The sequence below is a fragment of the Homo sapiens genome, chromosome 7, assembly GCF_000001405.40.
Source record: "Homo sapiens chromosome 7, GRCh38.p14 Primary Assembly".
Classification (NCBI taxonomy): domain Eukaryota; kingdom Metazoa; phylum Chordata; class Mammalia; order Primates; family Hominidae; genus Homo; species Homo sapiens.
Window position 1 is genome coordinate 117,101,250 of NC_000007.14, and position 14,797 is coordinate 117,116,046.

The 14,797-nt window shown below is 39.8% G+C and overlaps 1 protein-coding gene and 1 long non-coding RNA gene across 19 annotated transcripts in view, besides 2 other annotated features; one reads left to right on the forward strand and one right to left on the reverse strand.

The window, feature by feature from the left end:
• ST7 (suppression of tumorigenicity 7) overlaps window positions 1–14,797 on the forward strand; it is a 276,676-nt gene that overhangs the window by 147,749 nt on the left and 114,130 nt on the right. The window lies entirely within an intron of this gene.
• ST7-AS2 (ST7 antisense RNA 2) overlaps window positions 1–14,797 on the reverse strand; it is a 73,521-nt gene that overhangs the window by 29,178 nt on the left and 29,546 nt on the right. For both annotated transcript variants that reach the window (NR_109981.1, NR_002331.3), the window contains one exon: window positions 11,043–11,418. This is a non-coding gene — a long non-coding RNA (ST7 antisense RNA 2). Of the gene's footprint in view, window positions 11,419–14,797 lie in introns of those variants that run through there.
• Window positions 9,259–9,338: an enhancer, noted in NCBI's record as "active region_26543". NCBI's record gives its function as "activates an Ori minimal core promoter by ATAC-STARR-seq in GM12878 lymphoblastoid cells {active_cell/tissue: GM12878}" and the evidence as "EXISTENCE:reporter gene assay evidence [ECO:0000049][PMID:35858748]".
• Window positions 9,379–9,598: an enhancer, noted in NCBI's record as "active region_26544". NCBI's record gives its function as "activates an Ori minimal core promoter by ATAC-STARR-seq in GM12878 lymphoblastoid cells {active_cell/tissue: GM12878}" and the evidence as "EXISTENCE:reporter gene assay evidence [ECO:0000049][PMID:35858748]".

Sequence of the window (14,797 nt, forward strand, 5' to 3'; positions counted from 1 at the left end):
ATTCCGAGTTTCAGGGTCCCACTCTTTTCCAATTAATGCCCTCACTTTAACAGTAGATACCTGGTGAGCCTGAGCATGTACCTATCATTGCAGGTCAGCCACTCACATAAGAGCTTGTGTCTGATTTTCCACAATTTCCAGCTCTTTCTCTACAAGAGATGAGACTCTCACTAAGGGCACTCTTAGAAGATTCGAAGCTCAGTATGTGCTTCTGGAGCCAGGAGTTAGAATCCCTGAGTTCGTTGTTTTCATCACCTTGTCCAGTGAACTTAGGAGCAACCAACCAACTTCATTATATTCCTTGGTTCTCCACATATGGTCAAAGGTATTATGTGTAGAGTTGCTAAACTCTTTGCCTCTCAAGAGTGGTGAATCAGGAGTATCAAATGCATTTATTTTGCATAACTCTCTAAACAGTTCACGCCAAGGACTGTCAGTGTTCTCCATACTATTAGAAGTAGAGTCCTTAGCATTTTTGGGTCTAATTATATTAAGCAGCCAACTCCAGAAACCCCAAAACCAACTAAAGAAATCTATCCTCAAAATTCTGTTTCTCTAGAACTACTTCTGGTACTAAAAATCTGTTTTGGATAAATGAAAATCCAACTAGAAAGCCCAATGCTGGCTGCAAAGACCAACCCAAGTTGAGGTGAAGCATATTAAACTTCCTCCTTAAAATGGGTTGAAATAAGGTATATGCGATAATTTATACCATGTCGCCTCTTAAATACTAATCTGTTCACCTGTATGTGTCTCTGAAGTTTTCCCTGTTCTTTAGAGATATGAGAAAAATAAAGACCCTGTAGAAAGTGGCTCCATAAAGCTATAAAGCTGGTCACTAATTTATTCCATGTAAGGACTGTATTTTATTCTGAGATTGTGTCCTTCTTACTTTTTAACGTTAAAATTTTCTTCTGAAATGATGGTGATAGTGTATGGTAGTGTTATTTTACTATTATTACTTTGCAAAGAAGAATATAGCAGCAGCCCCACATTGGTCTTCACATTTGTCGGGGCGGGGGCAGGAACTCTTGGCTTCAGAGAACAATCACCTCAAAAATTTACTTCTACTTAACCTGTTGAGGAACAACGTAAATTGTCCAAATGGGAAATAGTAAAAATATTTGAGTCTGACCTAGAGCAATGAATGGAGAAGAGAAAGGCTTTAGATAATCTCTTCAATCTAGGGGATTGAGGGCAGAGGAAAATTATCTAAGAGAGGATTTGGTGGACGGAAGCCAGCAGAAACTGTTTTGCTAGAAAACCACAGAAAAAATTGTGGTAAGTGCTGAAGGTATGGGAATGAATCTCTCAATCCAAAGGTTTCTAACTTTATTAATTAAAAAATATTTTCATTAGGAGGCAATATACTTATTATTTAGAGCTATGTAAGAAACTATATTAATATATTGAGAATTACATGATATCCAGAGAGGACAAGGAGTAGACAGAAGATGATGAGAGAAAGTAATGAAAAGGGGAGATCAGTTTCAGTGAGATAGGTGATAGAAGAGAAAACCATGAAAAAGGAAGAAGTCAAGTGAGCCCTGTTTGCAGACAACATGATCTTATATTTAGAAAAACCTAAAGACTCTACCAAAAACAGAACTGATAAACGAATTCAATAAAGTTGCAGGATACAAAATCAGCATACAAAAATCAGTAACATTTATATATGCTAACAGTGAACAATCTGAAAAAGAAATCAAGAAAGCAATCCCATTTACAATAGCTATAAAGAGCATAAAATACCTAGGAATTAATTTAATAAAAAAAGTGAAAGATGCATACAAGGAAAACTATTAAACCCTGATGGAAAAAAATTGAAGAGAACACACAAAAAATGGAAAGATATTTTGTGCTCGTGGATTGGAAGAATTAATATCATCAAAATGACAATACTCTGTGAATAAATTTTATAATACTCTGCACATAAATTTACTTATTTAATGCAATCCCTATCAAAATACCAATCACATTCTTTACAGAAATAGAAAAAAAAATCTAAAATTTATGTGGAACCACAGAAGACCCTGAATAGCCAGAGCAATCCTGAGCAAAAAGAACAAAACTGGAGGCATCACACTATCTGACTTCAAAATATTTTACAAAGTTATAGTAACCAAATCAGCATGGTACTGGCATAAAAACAGACACATAGCAATGGAACAGAGTAGAGAGCCCAGACATAAATCCACAAATTTACAGTCAACTCATTTTCGACAAAGGCACTGAGAACGTACATTGGAGAATGGACAGTCTCTTCAATAAATGTGCTGGAAAAACTGAATAACCATATGTTGAAGAATGAAGCTGGACCTCTATCTCTCACCATATGCAAAATCAAATCAAAATGGATTAAATACTTAAATCTAAGACCTGAAACCATGACACTGTGAAAGAAAACATTGGGGAAATGCTCCAGAACATTAGTCTGGGTAAAGACTTTTTGTGTGAGACCTCAAAGCACAGGCAACCAGAGCAGAAATAGACAAATGGGATTATATCAAGTTAAAAGGCTCCTGCACAGCAAAGGAAACAATAAAGTGAAGAGACAAACCATAGAATGGGAGAAAATATTTGCAGGCTATTCATCTAAGAGATTAATAACCAGAATATATAAGGAGCTCAAATAACTCAATAGCAAAACCGCAAATAATCCAATTATAAAATGGGCAAAGATCTGAATAAACATTTCTCAAAAGAAGACATGTGAATGGACAACAGGTATATGAAAAAGTGCTCAGTATCACTAATCATCAGAGAAATGCAGACCAAAACCACAACGAGCTATCATCTCACTACAGTTAGAATGGCTTCAAGTGATTCTCCTGCCTCGGCCTCCTGAGTAGCTGGGACTGCAGGCATGTGCCACCGTGCCTGGCTAATTTTTGTAAGAAGAAAGGGTGTGGTAGGTGCAGTGGCTCACGCCTGCAATCACAGCACTTTGGGAGGCAGAGGCAGGAGGATCACATGAGGCCAGGAGTTCGAGACCAGCCTGGCCAACATGGTGAAACCCTGTGTCTACTAAAAATACAAAATTAGCCGGGTGTGGTGGCACACACCTGTAGTCCCAGCTGTTCAGGAGGCTGAGGCAGCAGAATCACTTAAATCCAGGAGGCGGAGGTTGCAGTGAGCTGAGATGGCACCACTGCACTCTAGCCTGGGCAATAGAGCGAGACTCCGTCTCAAAAAACAAAACAAAACAAAAACTGGGTGTAACAGAAGCTGGTGAAGATGTGGAGAAAGGGGTACTCTTGTACACTGTTGGTGGGATTGTAAATTAGTACAGCCACTATGGAAAACGGATGTTTCTCAAAAAGCTAGAAATTGAAATAGCATATGATCCAGCAATTCACTTCTTGGATATATATCCAAAAGAAAGGAAATCAGTATGTCAAAGAGATACCTGCAGTCCCATGTTTATTGCAGCACTGTTCATAATAGCCAAAATTTAGAATCAATTTAAGTACCCATCAGTTGATGAATGCGTAAAGAATATGTGGTATATATTGCAGAGATGAACAGAAAACTTCCCCTTCATCCTTGAAAGGTTGACAGAAAAATTAACTGACAAATGGCAGATTAATAAGAGAAAAGGCATAAGAAATGTATTATTAACGTGCACAGGAGAACTACAGAGTGATTACCCAATATCTCAGTGGGGTTAAGAAGCTTATATATGATCTTGAGGTTACAGAAAGATTGGGGTCTTGGATCCTGGCAAAACAAGTTATGGTGGAGAAACAAGTTGTGGGACGGGGAAAAGAGGAATTTTCTTGAGGGTAATACATGATTACTAGGGAGAATGATTGAATCAGGGAACAGAGGTTAATTTGTAAATAGTTCTCTTTGGAATTTGAATGTTCCACAATGGAATGTTTTTCAGTGATGAAAAAGAATGTTCTGTTATTTGCAGCAACATGGATGGAACTGGAGGTCATTATGTTGAGTGAAATAAGCCAAGTACAGAAAGACATATATTGCATATTCTCACTCATATATGGGAGTTTAAAAAGTGGATCTCAAAGATACAGAGTAGATTGGTGGTTACCAGAGGCTGGGAAGGTCACGCAGGCTGCAGTGTACTGCACACTGCACAGCTTATTGTAACCTTGACCTCCTGGGCTCAGGCAATCCTTTGTCTCAGCCTCCCAAGTAGCTGGGACCACAGGTGCGTGCCATCATGTCTGGCTAATTTTTAAAATTGTTTGTAGAGATGGAGTCTCCCTATATTGCCCAGGCTGGTGTTGAATTCCTGGGCTCAAGCAATACTCTTCCTTTGGCCTCCCAAAGTGCTGGGATTACAGGCGTGAGCCACCATGCCTGGCTGAGGTTTATTAATAGGTACAAATATACCAGTTAAATAGAATAAATAAGATCTAATGTTTGACAGATAGTTAGGGTGACTATAGTTAACAATCTGTTGTGTATTTCAGAATAGTCAGAAGAGAATAATTTGAATGTTCCTGGCACAAAGAAAAGAAAAATAAATTTAAGGTGGTAGATATTCCAGTGACCCTGATTTGATCTTTACATATTACATGAAGGTATCAAATTATCACATGTACCCTGAAAATATGTACAGCTATTATGTATCAATTTTAAAAAGCCATGGGGAGAATCAGGGATTGTTGACCTGATAGGACTTTGATCATTCATCCCTAAGCCATTCGTTTTTCAGAGAAGAAAATCGAGACTAACAGAAGAAAGAAAAGGAAATGTTTTTTGTTTTTGTTTTTGTTTTTGTTTTTTTTTTTGAGACGGAGTCTCGCTGTGTCGCCCAGGCCAGACTGCGGACTGCAGTGGCGCAATCTCGGCTCACTGCAAGCTCCGCTTCCCGGGTTCACGCCATTCTCCTGCCTCAGCCTCCCGAGTAGCTGGGACTACAGGCGCCTGCCACCGCGCCGGGCTAATTTTTTGTATTTTTAGTAGAGACGGGGTTTCACCTTGTTAGCCAGGATGGTCTCGATCTCCTGACCTCAAGATCCACCCGCCTCGGCCTCCCAAAGTGCTGGGATTACAGGCGTGAGCCACCGCACCCGGCCAGGAAATGTTTTGTCTAAGCTCATGTGGTTAGTTTGCAGCAAAGTCAGGCCTAGAACCTAAGTCTTCATGTTCCTACCTTAATATTCTTTTTTTTCTTTCAAAGCTTGTTTATTTTTATTTTTAAATTTTTATTTCAATAGGTTTTTGGGAAACAGTTGGTATTTCCTGAGTAAGTTCTTTAGTGGCTATTTCTGAGATTTTCGTGCATCCATCCCCCTAGCAGTGTACACCATACCCAATCCCAATGTGTAGTCTTTTATCCCTCACCCTCTTCCCACTCTTTCCTCCTCTGAGTCTTCAAAGTTCATTGTATCATTCTTTTTTTTTTTTTTTTTTTTTTGAGTTGGAGTCTTGCTCTGTTGCCCAGGCTGGAGTGCAGTGGTGCTTTCTCGGCTCACTGCAATCTCTGTCTCCCGGGTTCACACCATTCTCCTGCCTTAGCCTCCTGAATAGCTGGGACTACAGGCGCCCGCCACCATGCCCGGCTAATTTTTTGTATTTTTAGTAGAGACGGGGTTTCACCGTGTTAGCCAGGATGGTCTCGATCTCCTGACCTCATGATCCACCTGCCTCGGCCTCCCAAAGTGCTGGGATTACAGGCGTGAGCCACTGTGCCTGGCCCATTGTATCATTCTTAATGCCTTTGCGTCCTCATAGTTTAGCTCCCACTTATGAGTGAGAACATACTTTTGGCTTTCCATTCCTGAGTTACTTCACTTAGAATAATGATGTCCAATTCCATCCAGATTGCTGCAAATACCATTATTTCATTCCTTTTTATGGTGGAGTAGTATTCCATGGTGTGTGTGTATGTGTATATATATATATATGTATACATACACACACACCACATTTTCTTTATCCACTTATTGATGAGCATTTGGACTGGTTCCATATTTTTGCTATTGCAAATTGTGCTGCTATAAACATGCGTGTACAAGTATCTTTTTTGTATAGTGACTTCTTTGCCTCTGGGTAGGTACCTGGTAGTGGGATTGCTGGATCCAATGGTAGATGTACTTTTAGTTCTTTAAGGAATCTCCAGTGTTTTCCATAGTGGTTGTACTAGTTTACATTCCCACCAGCAGTGTAAAAGTATTCCCTTTTCACCACATCCATACCCATATCTATTATTTTTTTACTTTTTATTATGGTCATTCTTGCAGGGGTGAAGTGGTGCTGCATTGTGGTTTTGATTTGCATTTCCCTGATCATTAGTGATGTTGAGCATTTTTTTCATGTTTATTGGCCATTCGTATATCTTCTTTTGAGAATTATCTATTATTCATGTCCTTAGCCCACTTCTTTTTTTTTTTTTTTTTTTTTTTTTTGAGACAGAATTTTCACTCTTGTTGCCCAGGCTGGAGTGCAATGGCACAATCTCGGCTCACTGCAACCTCTGCCTCCTGGGTTCAAGCAATTCTCCTGCCTCTGCCTCCCAAGTAGCTGGGATTACAGGCATGTGCCACCATGCCTGGCTAATTTTTTGTGTTTGTTAGAGACAGGGTTTCACCATGTTGGCCAGGCTGGTCTGGCCAACTTCTGACCTCAGGTGACCCACCTGCCTCGGCCTCCCAAAGTTCTGGGATTGTAGACGTCAGCCACTGCACCCGGCCCTTAGCCCACTTTTTGAAGGGATTTTTTTCTTTCTTGCTGATTTATTTGAAATCCTTGTAGATTCAGGATATTAGTCCTTTGTCAGATGTGTAGATTATGAAGATTTTCTGCCACTCTGTGGGGTGTCTGTTAATTCTGCTGATTATTTCTTTTGCTGTGCAGAAGCTTTTTAGTTTAATTAAGTCCCATCTATTTATCTTTTTTTTTGTTGCACTTGCTTTTGGGTTCTTGTTCATGAAGTCTTTGCCTAAGCCAATGTCTAGAAGGGTTTTTCCAATGTTATCTTCTAGAACTTTTATGGTATCAGGTCTTAGATTTAAGTCTTTGATTCATCTTGAGGTGATTTTTGTATAAGGTGAGCGATGAGGATCTAGTTTCATTCTTACTCATGTGACTTGCCAATTATCCCAGCACCATTTGTTGAATAGGGTGTCTTTTCCACACTTTATATTTTTGCTGTGCTTTGTCCAAGATCAGTCGACTGTAAGTATTTGGCTTTATTTCTGGGTTCTTCATTCTGTTTCATAGGTCTATATGCCTGTTTTTATACTAGTACCAAGCTGTTTTGGTGACTGTGGCCTTATAGTATAGTTTGAAGTCAGGTAATGTGAATCTCCAGATTTGTTCTTTTTGCTTAGTTTTGCTTTGGCTATGCAGGCTCTTTTTAGGTTCCATATGAATTTTTTGGTTGTTTTTTTCTAGTTCTGTGAATAATGATGGTGGTATTTTGATGGGAATTGCATTGAATTTGTAGATTGCTTTCGGCAGTATGGTCATTTTCTCAATGTTGATTCTACCCATCCATGAGCATGGGATGTGTTTCCATTTGTTTGTGTTATCTGTGATTTCTTTCAGCAGTGTTTTGTAGTTTTCCTTGTAGAGGTTTTTCACCTCCTTGGTTAAGTGTATTCCTAAGTATTTTTTTATTTTTTTATTTTTACAGCTACTGTAAAAGTGGTTGAGTTCTTCATTTGCTTCTCAGCTTGGTCGCTGTTGGTGTATAGCAGGGCTACTAATTTGCGTACATTAATTTTGTATCCTAAAACTTTGCTGAATTCATTTACCACTCCTGGGAGCTTTTTGGATGAGTCTTTAGGGTTTTCTAGGTATATGATCATGTCATCAGCAAACACTTGACAGTTTGACTTCCTCTTTACCGATTTGAATGCCCTTTATTTCTTTCTCTTGTCTGATTGCTGTGGCTAGGATTTCCAGTACTATGTTGAATAGAAGTGGTGAAAGTGGGCATCCTTGTCCTGTTCTCAGGGTAAATGCTTTCAACTTTTCCTCGTTCAGTATAATGTTGGCTGGGGGTTTGTCAGAGATGGCTTTTATTACCTTAAGTATGTCCCTTCTATGCCAATTCTTTTGAAGAGATGAATAAAATTGATAGACCATTGGTGAGATTAAGCAAGAGAAGAAGAGAGAAGATCCAAATAAGCTCAATTAGAAACGAAATAGGAGATATTACAACTGATACCACAGAAATACAAAAGATAATTCAAGGCTACTTTGAACCCCTTTACACACATAAACTAGAAAACCTAGAAGAGATGGATGAATTCCTGGAAATATACAACCATCCTAAATTAAACTAGGAAGAAATTGAAAGTCTGAACAGATTGAAATGGTAATTAAAAAGTTACCAACAAAAAAAAGTCCAGGACCAGATAGACTCACAGCTGAATTCTATCAGACATTCAAAGAAGAATTGGTACCAATCCTATTGACCCTATTCCAAAAAATAAAGAAGGAATCCTCCCTAAATTATTCTGTGAAGCCAGTATCACCCTAATGCCCAAACCAGGAAACAATATAACAAAAAAATAAAACTACAGATCAATATCTCTGATGAACGTAGATACAAAAATTCTCAGTAAAATATTAGCTAACTGAATCCAACAGCATGTCCAAAAAGATAATTCACCATGAACAAGTGGGTTTCATACCAGGGATGCAGGGATGGTTTAACATATGCAAGTAAATAAATGTGATACACCATATAAACAGAATTAAAAATGAAAATCACATGATCATTTCAATAGATGCAGAAAAAACATTTGACAAAATCCAGCACCCCTTTATGATTAAAAACCTACCTTAATATTCCTAAATAGAGGCAACTTCAGACTGGGAAAATGCTTGGTAAATTCTTACTAAATATATGCCCCAAACATGGCAATCTTTTAGCATATATGTTTTGTGGGAGGGAGAAGGGAAGGCATTACAAGTCTCCCTCTGATGATTATCATTTACATTTACAATAGTATTTTAACATTTTCATTCAAAACATCTTGGAAATATTTTTAAGTAAGCAAATAGAAAAAAAGAACTTTTCTGGATACAATTTCATACTGAAACCAGTAATTCACTCTGATGCTGAAAGGTAGGCTTTTGTCTTTTGTTTATACATTCCTCCTCTCAGAGGAGGGTCACTGAAGACTGTTACCTACTTAGATGATGCCAGGCACTGATCTAAAGCACTTTGCATGCTAACTCATTTACTCTTCCCCACCGTACAACAGGGTCATTGCTAATGGTTGTTTCCTTTTTACTTACAGGTAGGCTCAATAGGTAGAATAGGCCAGTTAGTAACCTGCCTTCAGTCACACAGCTAGCAATGGAGGAGCAGGGTTGGAACCCAGGCCATCTTGTGCAGGCAGCCTGCACTCTGTCACTCATTTCACTGCCTCTGTGGTCAGCTGTTTTTCTAGCCTGCTGTACAAATGGTAGGTCTGGACTTTATTCTAGCAGTAGCGTGGTGTAGATTCACAGGCTATAAATTAATTACCTCCGTGTGGGTTGTTTCCTTTCACTCTGGTGAGCTAGGCCTAATGGTTGTTTTCCTTTTTAACTCAAAGATGGGGAAGCCCCAACAGCAATAAAGGGATTTCCCTAGAGCCTGGCTGCCTTTGCAGATCTGGGCTGGTGAGGTTTTCTGTGCCCCTGCTGAACCGGATGATCATTGCTGGGCTATCTTATGGTACATTTGTCTTGCAGCATTCTCAGGAAGCAGAGGATGCTTCCGACTGATAGGAAACTTTGAGCAAAGGAAAACCTCTCCTGTAGGAACATTTTGAAAGGTCTCTCTCAAAATGCTGGTCTGTAGTGAGAGCTAAATAACTACAGTGTGTACAGCTTTAGGCTCCTGCTTTAGAGCTTGTTGACATGCCTAGCCTTTAGGGACTCAGCTTTGCCAGGCCTCGAAATGAACCCAGGGTAAGGTTTCTATTCAGCCACTATCCTTTTCTGCTGAGTGCATTTCAGGGAGAGGCAGCATTGAGGTAAAGGATCAGGTGCTCTGCAAAATAGTTGTGTGCATGGAAATGCTTAGCAGTTTGCTTCCTGGCCCCAGGGAGATAATTACCTAACTGCTCTCACCTAAGCAATGTCCTAGGAGCCTGCCATGGACATTTAAAGTACACGGCTGACCCTGGGGAAATTGATTATTTGGGGGCCTCAGGATTTCTATGCTGGAGACTAAAATTATCAAATTAAATTTGATTTCTTTGGAAGAGAGAGCTAAAAACAAAGAAAAACCCTGATGTTTCCTCTGTAAAGAAAAAGTCAATTAACTGAACAGATATACAATGTACTTAAAAATAAACAGGTGTATATTTTATTAGATATCCCTAATACTTCTTAGTTCACAAGGTGAAAGCTAGCAATGACTTTGTTATACCATCTAGCTCACTCTTCCCTTTTAGTTCCTATGCCTATACCCATCCATCCAGCTTTTTCCCTTGCTTAATTTCAAGATACCCCTCTGCCTGCTTGGCACAAGCCTTCCCATCCCAGTCCAGTTCCATCCACAAGAACTGCACCTGTCATCACAGTCCAGACCTGCCAAGTTAGTCTTATCTGCTAGCAAAGACATGCCCAGCCTCTGCAGGGAGTGTTTATTATAGTGGAGAAAATCTCTGGATTTTGCTTCGCTTTTGAGAGTGGTAAGGTGGATATGTGCAGAAAATGCTCCCCTTAATTATCTCAAAATGTTGATAGAATGCATACAATTCTGTATGTTGCATTGACATTTATACATAGATTCCTATATCCCTATTAAAATGTGTGTGTATGTATTTCATTGGATATAGGGATCAATACACATTTTAATAGGATACAGGATATGTATATTTGTGTATATGTATATAGATATACATATATGTACATATATATGCATGTGTGTGTGTGTGTATATATATATATAACAGAGGTATTTTTAAGAGGCATCCAGAGCATAATTTTTAGAAGTCAGAATCAAGAACAGGAAATGGAGAAAATCAGAATGGTAAATAAAATAATTAATTCATGGATTAAATGTAAAAGAAGTGTGTTTTTGGGAAAGTGGTAGCAGATGACGATTGAATAGGAATGAGTTATAACAAAAGATCTATTTATTGAGTTACCACTCCATGCCAGGTGTACTATATTAAGCACTTTGCATATATTATTTCATTTAGTTCTGATTGAAATTCTGAGTGGTGGGTATGACCAGTGTCTTTATATTGCTAAGTAAAAACAGACACAAAGTTTAAATAATTTGGCCAAGGTTATATAGCAGTTAAATCATGAGATTTGAACCCAGATCTCTCTGACCTTGCCTTCCATCACCTCTTATTCAAAAGTAAAGGAGCGGAGTTGAAGATTGCTATGTCTCCTTTCATTCCTTTTTCATCCATCTCAAGAAGTTGAACAGCACTCAGGTAGCACTTTAATTGATAGCCATATGGATCACCCAAAATAATGGTGATTCTGGAACGAAGAGTGGAAAAAGACACAGGGAAACTTGATTAGAAGGGCTCTTGGGGGATTGGGGTGGGAAGCAGCCCATAAATGTCAAGCTGTGTCATCTCTGAAGCACCTTGTCTCTTGACTCTAGAATAAAGAATGAGAGAGATGCTGTGAGGGCCAGATGGCTGGGGAGCCTGCAGACAATGAGAGGAAATAGGCTCATTTAACCTTGTCAAATTACAGCTTCTTGTGTTCACCACGGAAGTAAATGATCTTCTGCAGGGGACCCCGTGTCAGGCAAAGAAAGTAGATTGATACCTCTCGTGGACTGATTGTGGATTTCAGCATTTGGGTAGAACAGATTAATGATAAGATATGGCAGAAGTGAAGAAGGTGAATGAGCTAATGGCGGATAAAGGGACAAAACTGCCATTTTGGCTTTTTCAGCTTGCATTTCAGCACAAATTGAGAGACTTGAAAGTCATATAGTTGCAGTGCTGAGGCAGGAATGCTCAGAAGCAATCCACTTTAAATCAGTAAAGACCTAAGGACTAGGCATTCAGAAAACTTGTGACTTACCTACGAAACTTTGCTAGGTAAGGATGGAGTGAAGACTAGAATTTAAATTTCCACCACTCTGCCCTAGCATCTTTCTGCCTCTCATAAGGTTTGCCTGGGAAGGTGGATAGCAGCAGGGTGTAGCGGTTGATATTTTCATTTTAACAGACACACAGAAGTGGGTCAGGTAGATAAGAAGGAGAGAGTGGGGAGAGGGAAAGAGAAAAGAAAAAGGAAAAGAAAGAGAGAAGAGGAAGACTGCAACCTTCTTTGGAGGAAACATTTTTTCTTTTTCTAATTGGCCATGGGTTAGGCCAGATTTGTCCAGCCTAGAACATAGACCAATGCTTAGCACATTTATCATTATATTTCATTTGTGTGATCGTTTATTGTCTTCTTCCTCTTTAGAATAGGCAGGAACCATATCTGTGTTTCTGTGTGCTACTGTATATGAAATGCCAGGGTAAATACTTAGAAAATATTTGTCAAATGCACATAAGATCCAAGGAATGAATGAATGAAACTGACTGCATCAGAATTATCTGGGAGCTTGTTTAAAATGATAGATTCTGAGCACCACCCAGACCAACTGAATTAGAATCTCTAGAGGAGGGACCTAGAGGACAGCTGGCAGGGCTTGGGATGAATGACACAGGCTGGCTTTTCCCAATTCTCAGTGGTCTCCAGGGCTTTGTTCAGGAGAGTTACCCTCCCTTTTAGGCCATAGTAGTTAATGCTGCGGTGGAAAATCTCATCCTGTGAACTTAGAGACACTGAGGTGGGGATGGACCATTGGCTGTTGACCTTGAAGAGAGCCTTACTTCCCTGTGTTTTCTTAAAGTCTCGGCAACAGGTGGCCACAAAGGCGGGTGGAAGGGCAGAGTGCCAGTTTACATAGCCCCCGCAACTGTTGAGGGGAACAGGTGGCTGCAGAGGGATTGGCTGAGATCTAGGAAGCAGGAGGCCAAGACCCACTCAGTTGCTATTCCATATTCCTAAACAAAATATACAGAAACCAAGAATGTAAAAAAAAAAAAGTTTGATCTGTCATGAGGAATTAGGAAGGACTTTGAAAGAGTCAATATGGTAAAAAGAATATACTTTAGGATCAAAAAAGAAACTAAAAATGTTACAGGTATTACTGTAACACATGCCAACTGCCTGGGTTTATCTTCTTAAGCCCAGATAATCCCTTTTGCCAAAAAAAAAAAAACTGTTTACCACCAGATATATTTTTGAAGACTTGGAGCAGGTGTTGATTTGGCAATCTTTCTATCTAGGAGTAGACTGCCATAAAGTTTCGTATTCCTTCTTCAGTCTCTGCCATCACTGTATCTATCCTCCTGTGACATCATTGTCTACTTTAATTCTTAAGAAGCACTTAGCCAGTTTCAAGCTTTGACATCTTTCTATTTCCCATGGGTTTAATGGTGTTGGTGTGGAATTACTAAGCTTTTGCTGTGTGGAAATCTGGAGGCATTTTTGAGTGTGATAATAGGGCATAGGGAAATTCCTGACACATGGAGTGTTTTATGTATAGAATATGCAATTCAAAAGAAGAGGAGGACTTATTGGATAGGAAGAACCTAGGCATCTTGAACAAAGAGTCTACTTTTAGGTCTGCAAGATTGATGGAAAGGCCTTGTTTATTGTTCCTTTGTCTGATTTTTGTTCCCTGCAGGTAAATATGAGACAAGTTTGAAGCTTAGGCCAGCTGGAAACCTGGGTCTCTGCCCCCAGCTCCCAGCCCCAGTGCTCCTTGGTTATCCTTTCTGCTTCTGTCAAATAATAATGAAGGAGCTCACTGGGCATTGGTAACTGGGTCCTTGCCAAATGGATCTTTGTTTTAAATACGATCTGGGCCCTGAGTATAGCTTCTGGCCCTTCTGCCTTGTAAGATATAGGTCCAAACCACTTCCTCAGCCCTCTCATTCCCAATTCCATCCCCACCTCCCTTATTCCCAGAAGATATACCTAACCTGCACCTCCACTGAGATCAGTGTCACCCAGTTTTTATCCAGTTATTGCCTTCTAACCTGGGAAACAGCTCATATCACACTCTACTTTCCAAAATAGAATGTCTCCCCCTATTCATTCTTCTTTCTCTTTCTTCCTATCTTAGAGCAAGAAGTGAGAAGTGGTAGGTTACTTTTTTTTTTTTTTTTTTTGAGACACAGTCTAACTCTGTCACCCAGGCTGGAGTACAGTCCCGCGATCTCAGCTCATTGCAACTTCCGTCTCCCAGGTTCAAGCAATTCTGCTGCCTCAGCCACCCGAGTAGCTGGGATGACAGGCACCCACCACCACGCCTGGCTAATTTTTATATTTTTGTAGAGATGGGGTTTCACCATGTTGGCCAGGCTGGTCTCGAACTCCTGACCTCAGGTGATCTGCCCGCCTTGGCCTCCCAAAGTGTTGCGATTACAGGCATGAGCCACCGCGCCCAGCCGGTAGGTTACTTTTTAAAGGCAGAATGGACTTGGGATCATGTCTCTGGGTAATTTGTACTCTTTCCCACCATCAGTTTCTCTCTTTCCACTGGATTTTTTTCCCCTAACACAAACATGTGTGAACCTCTCTTTTTCATAAAAAACAAAATGAACACAAAACCTTTTATTGATCCCACTGTTGATTTAGACAATCTCCTGTTACATCAACCAGGCCAGCCCTTATCATCCACCCAGTCAACCTTCCAAATATCCTTCCATTCAGTCTTCTAGTCATCCCTCCCTTTCTCTCTCCATCTCTTCATCCAACATCAACTGAATGCTTACAGTGATCTTATTTTACACATTAGAAAACTAAGCCCCAAGGAATCAAGAAAAGCAACCAAGGTCACATA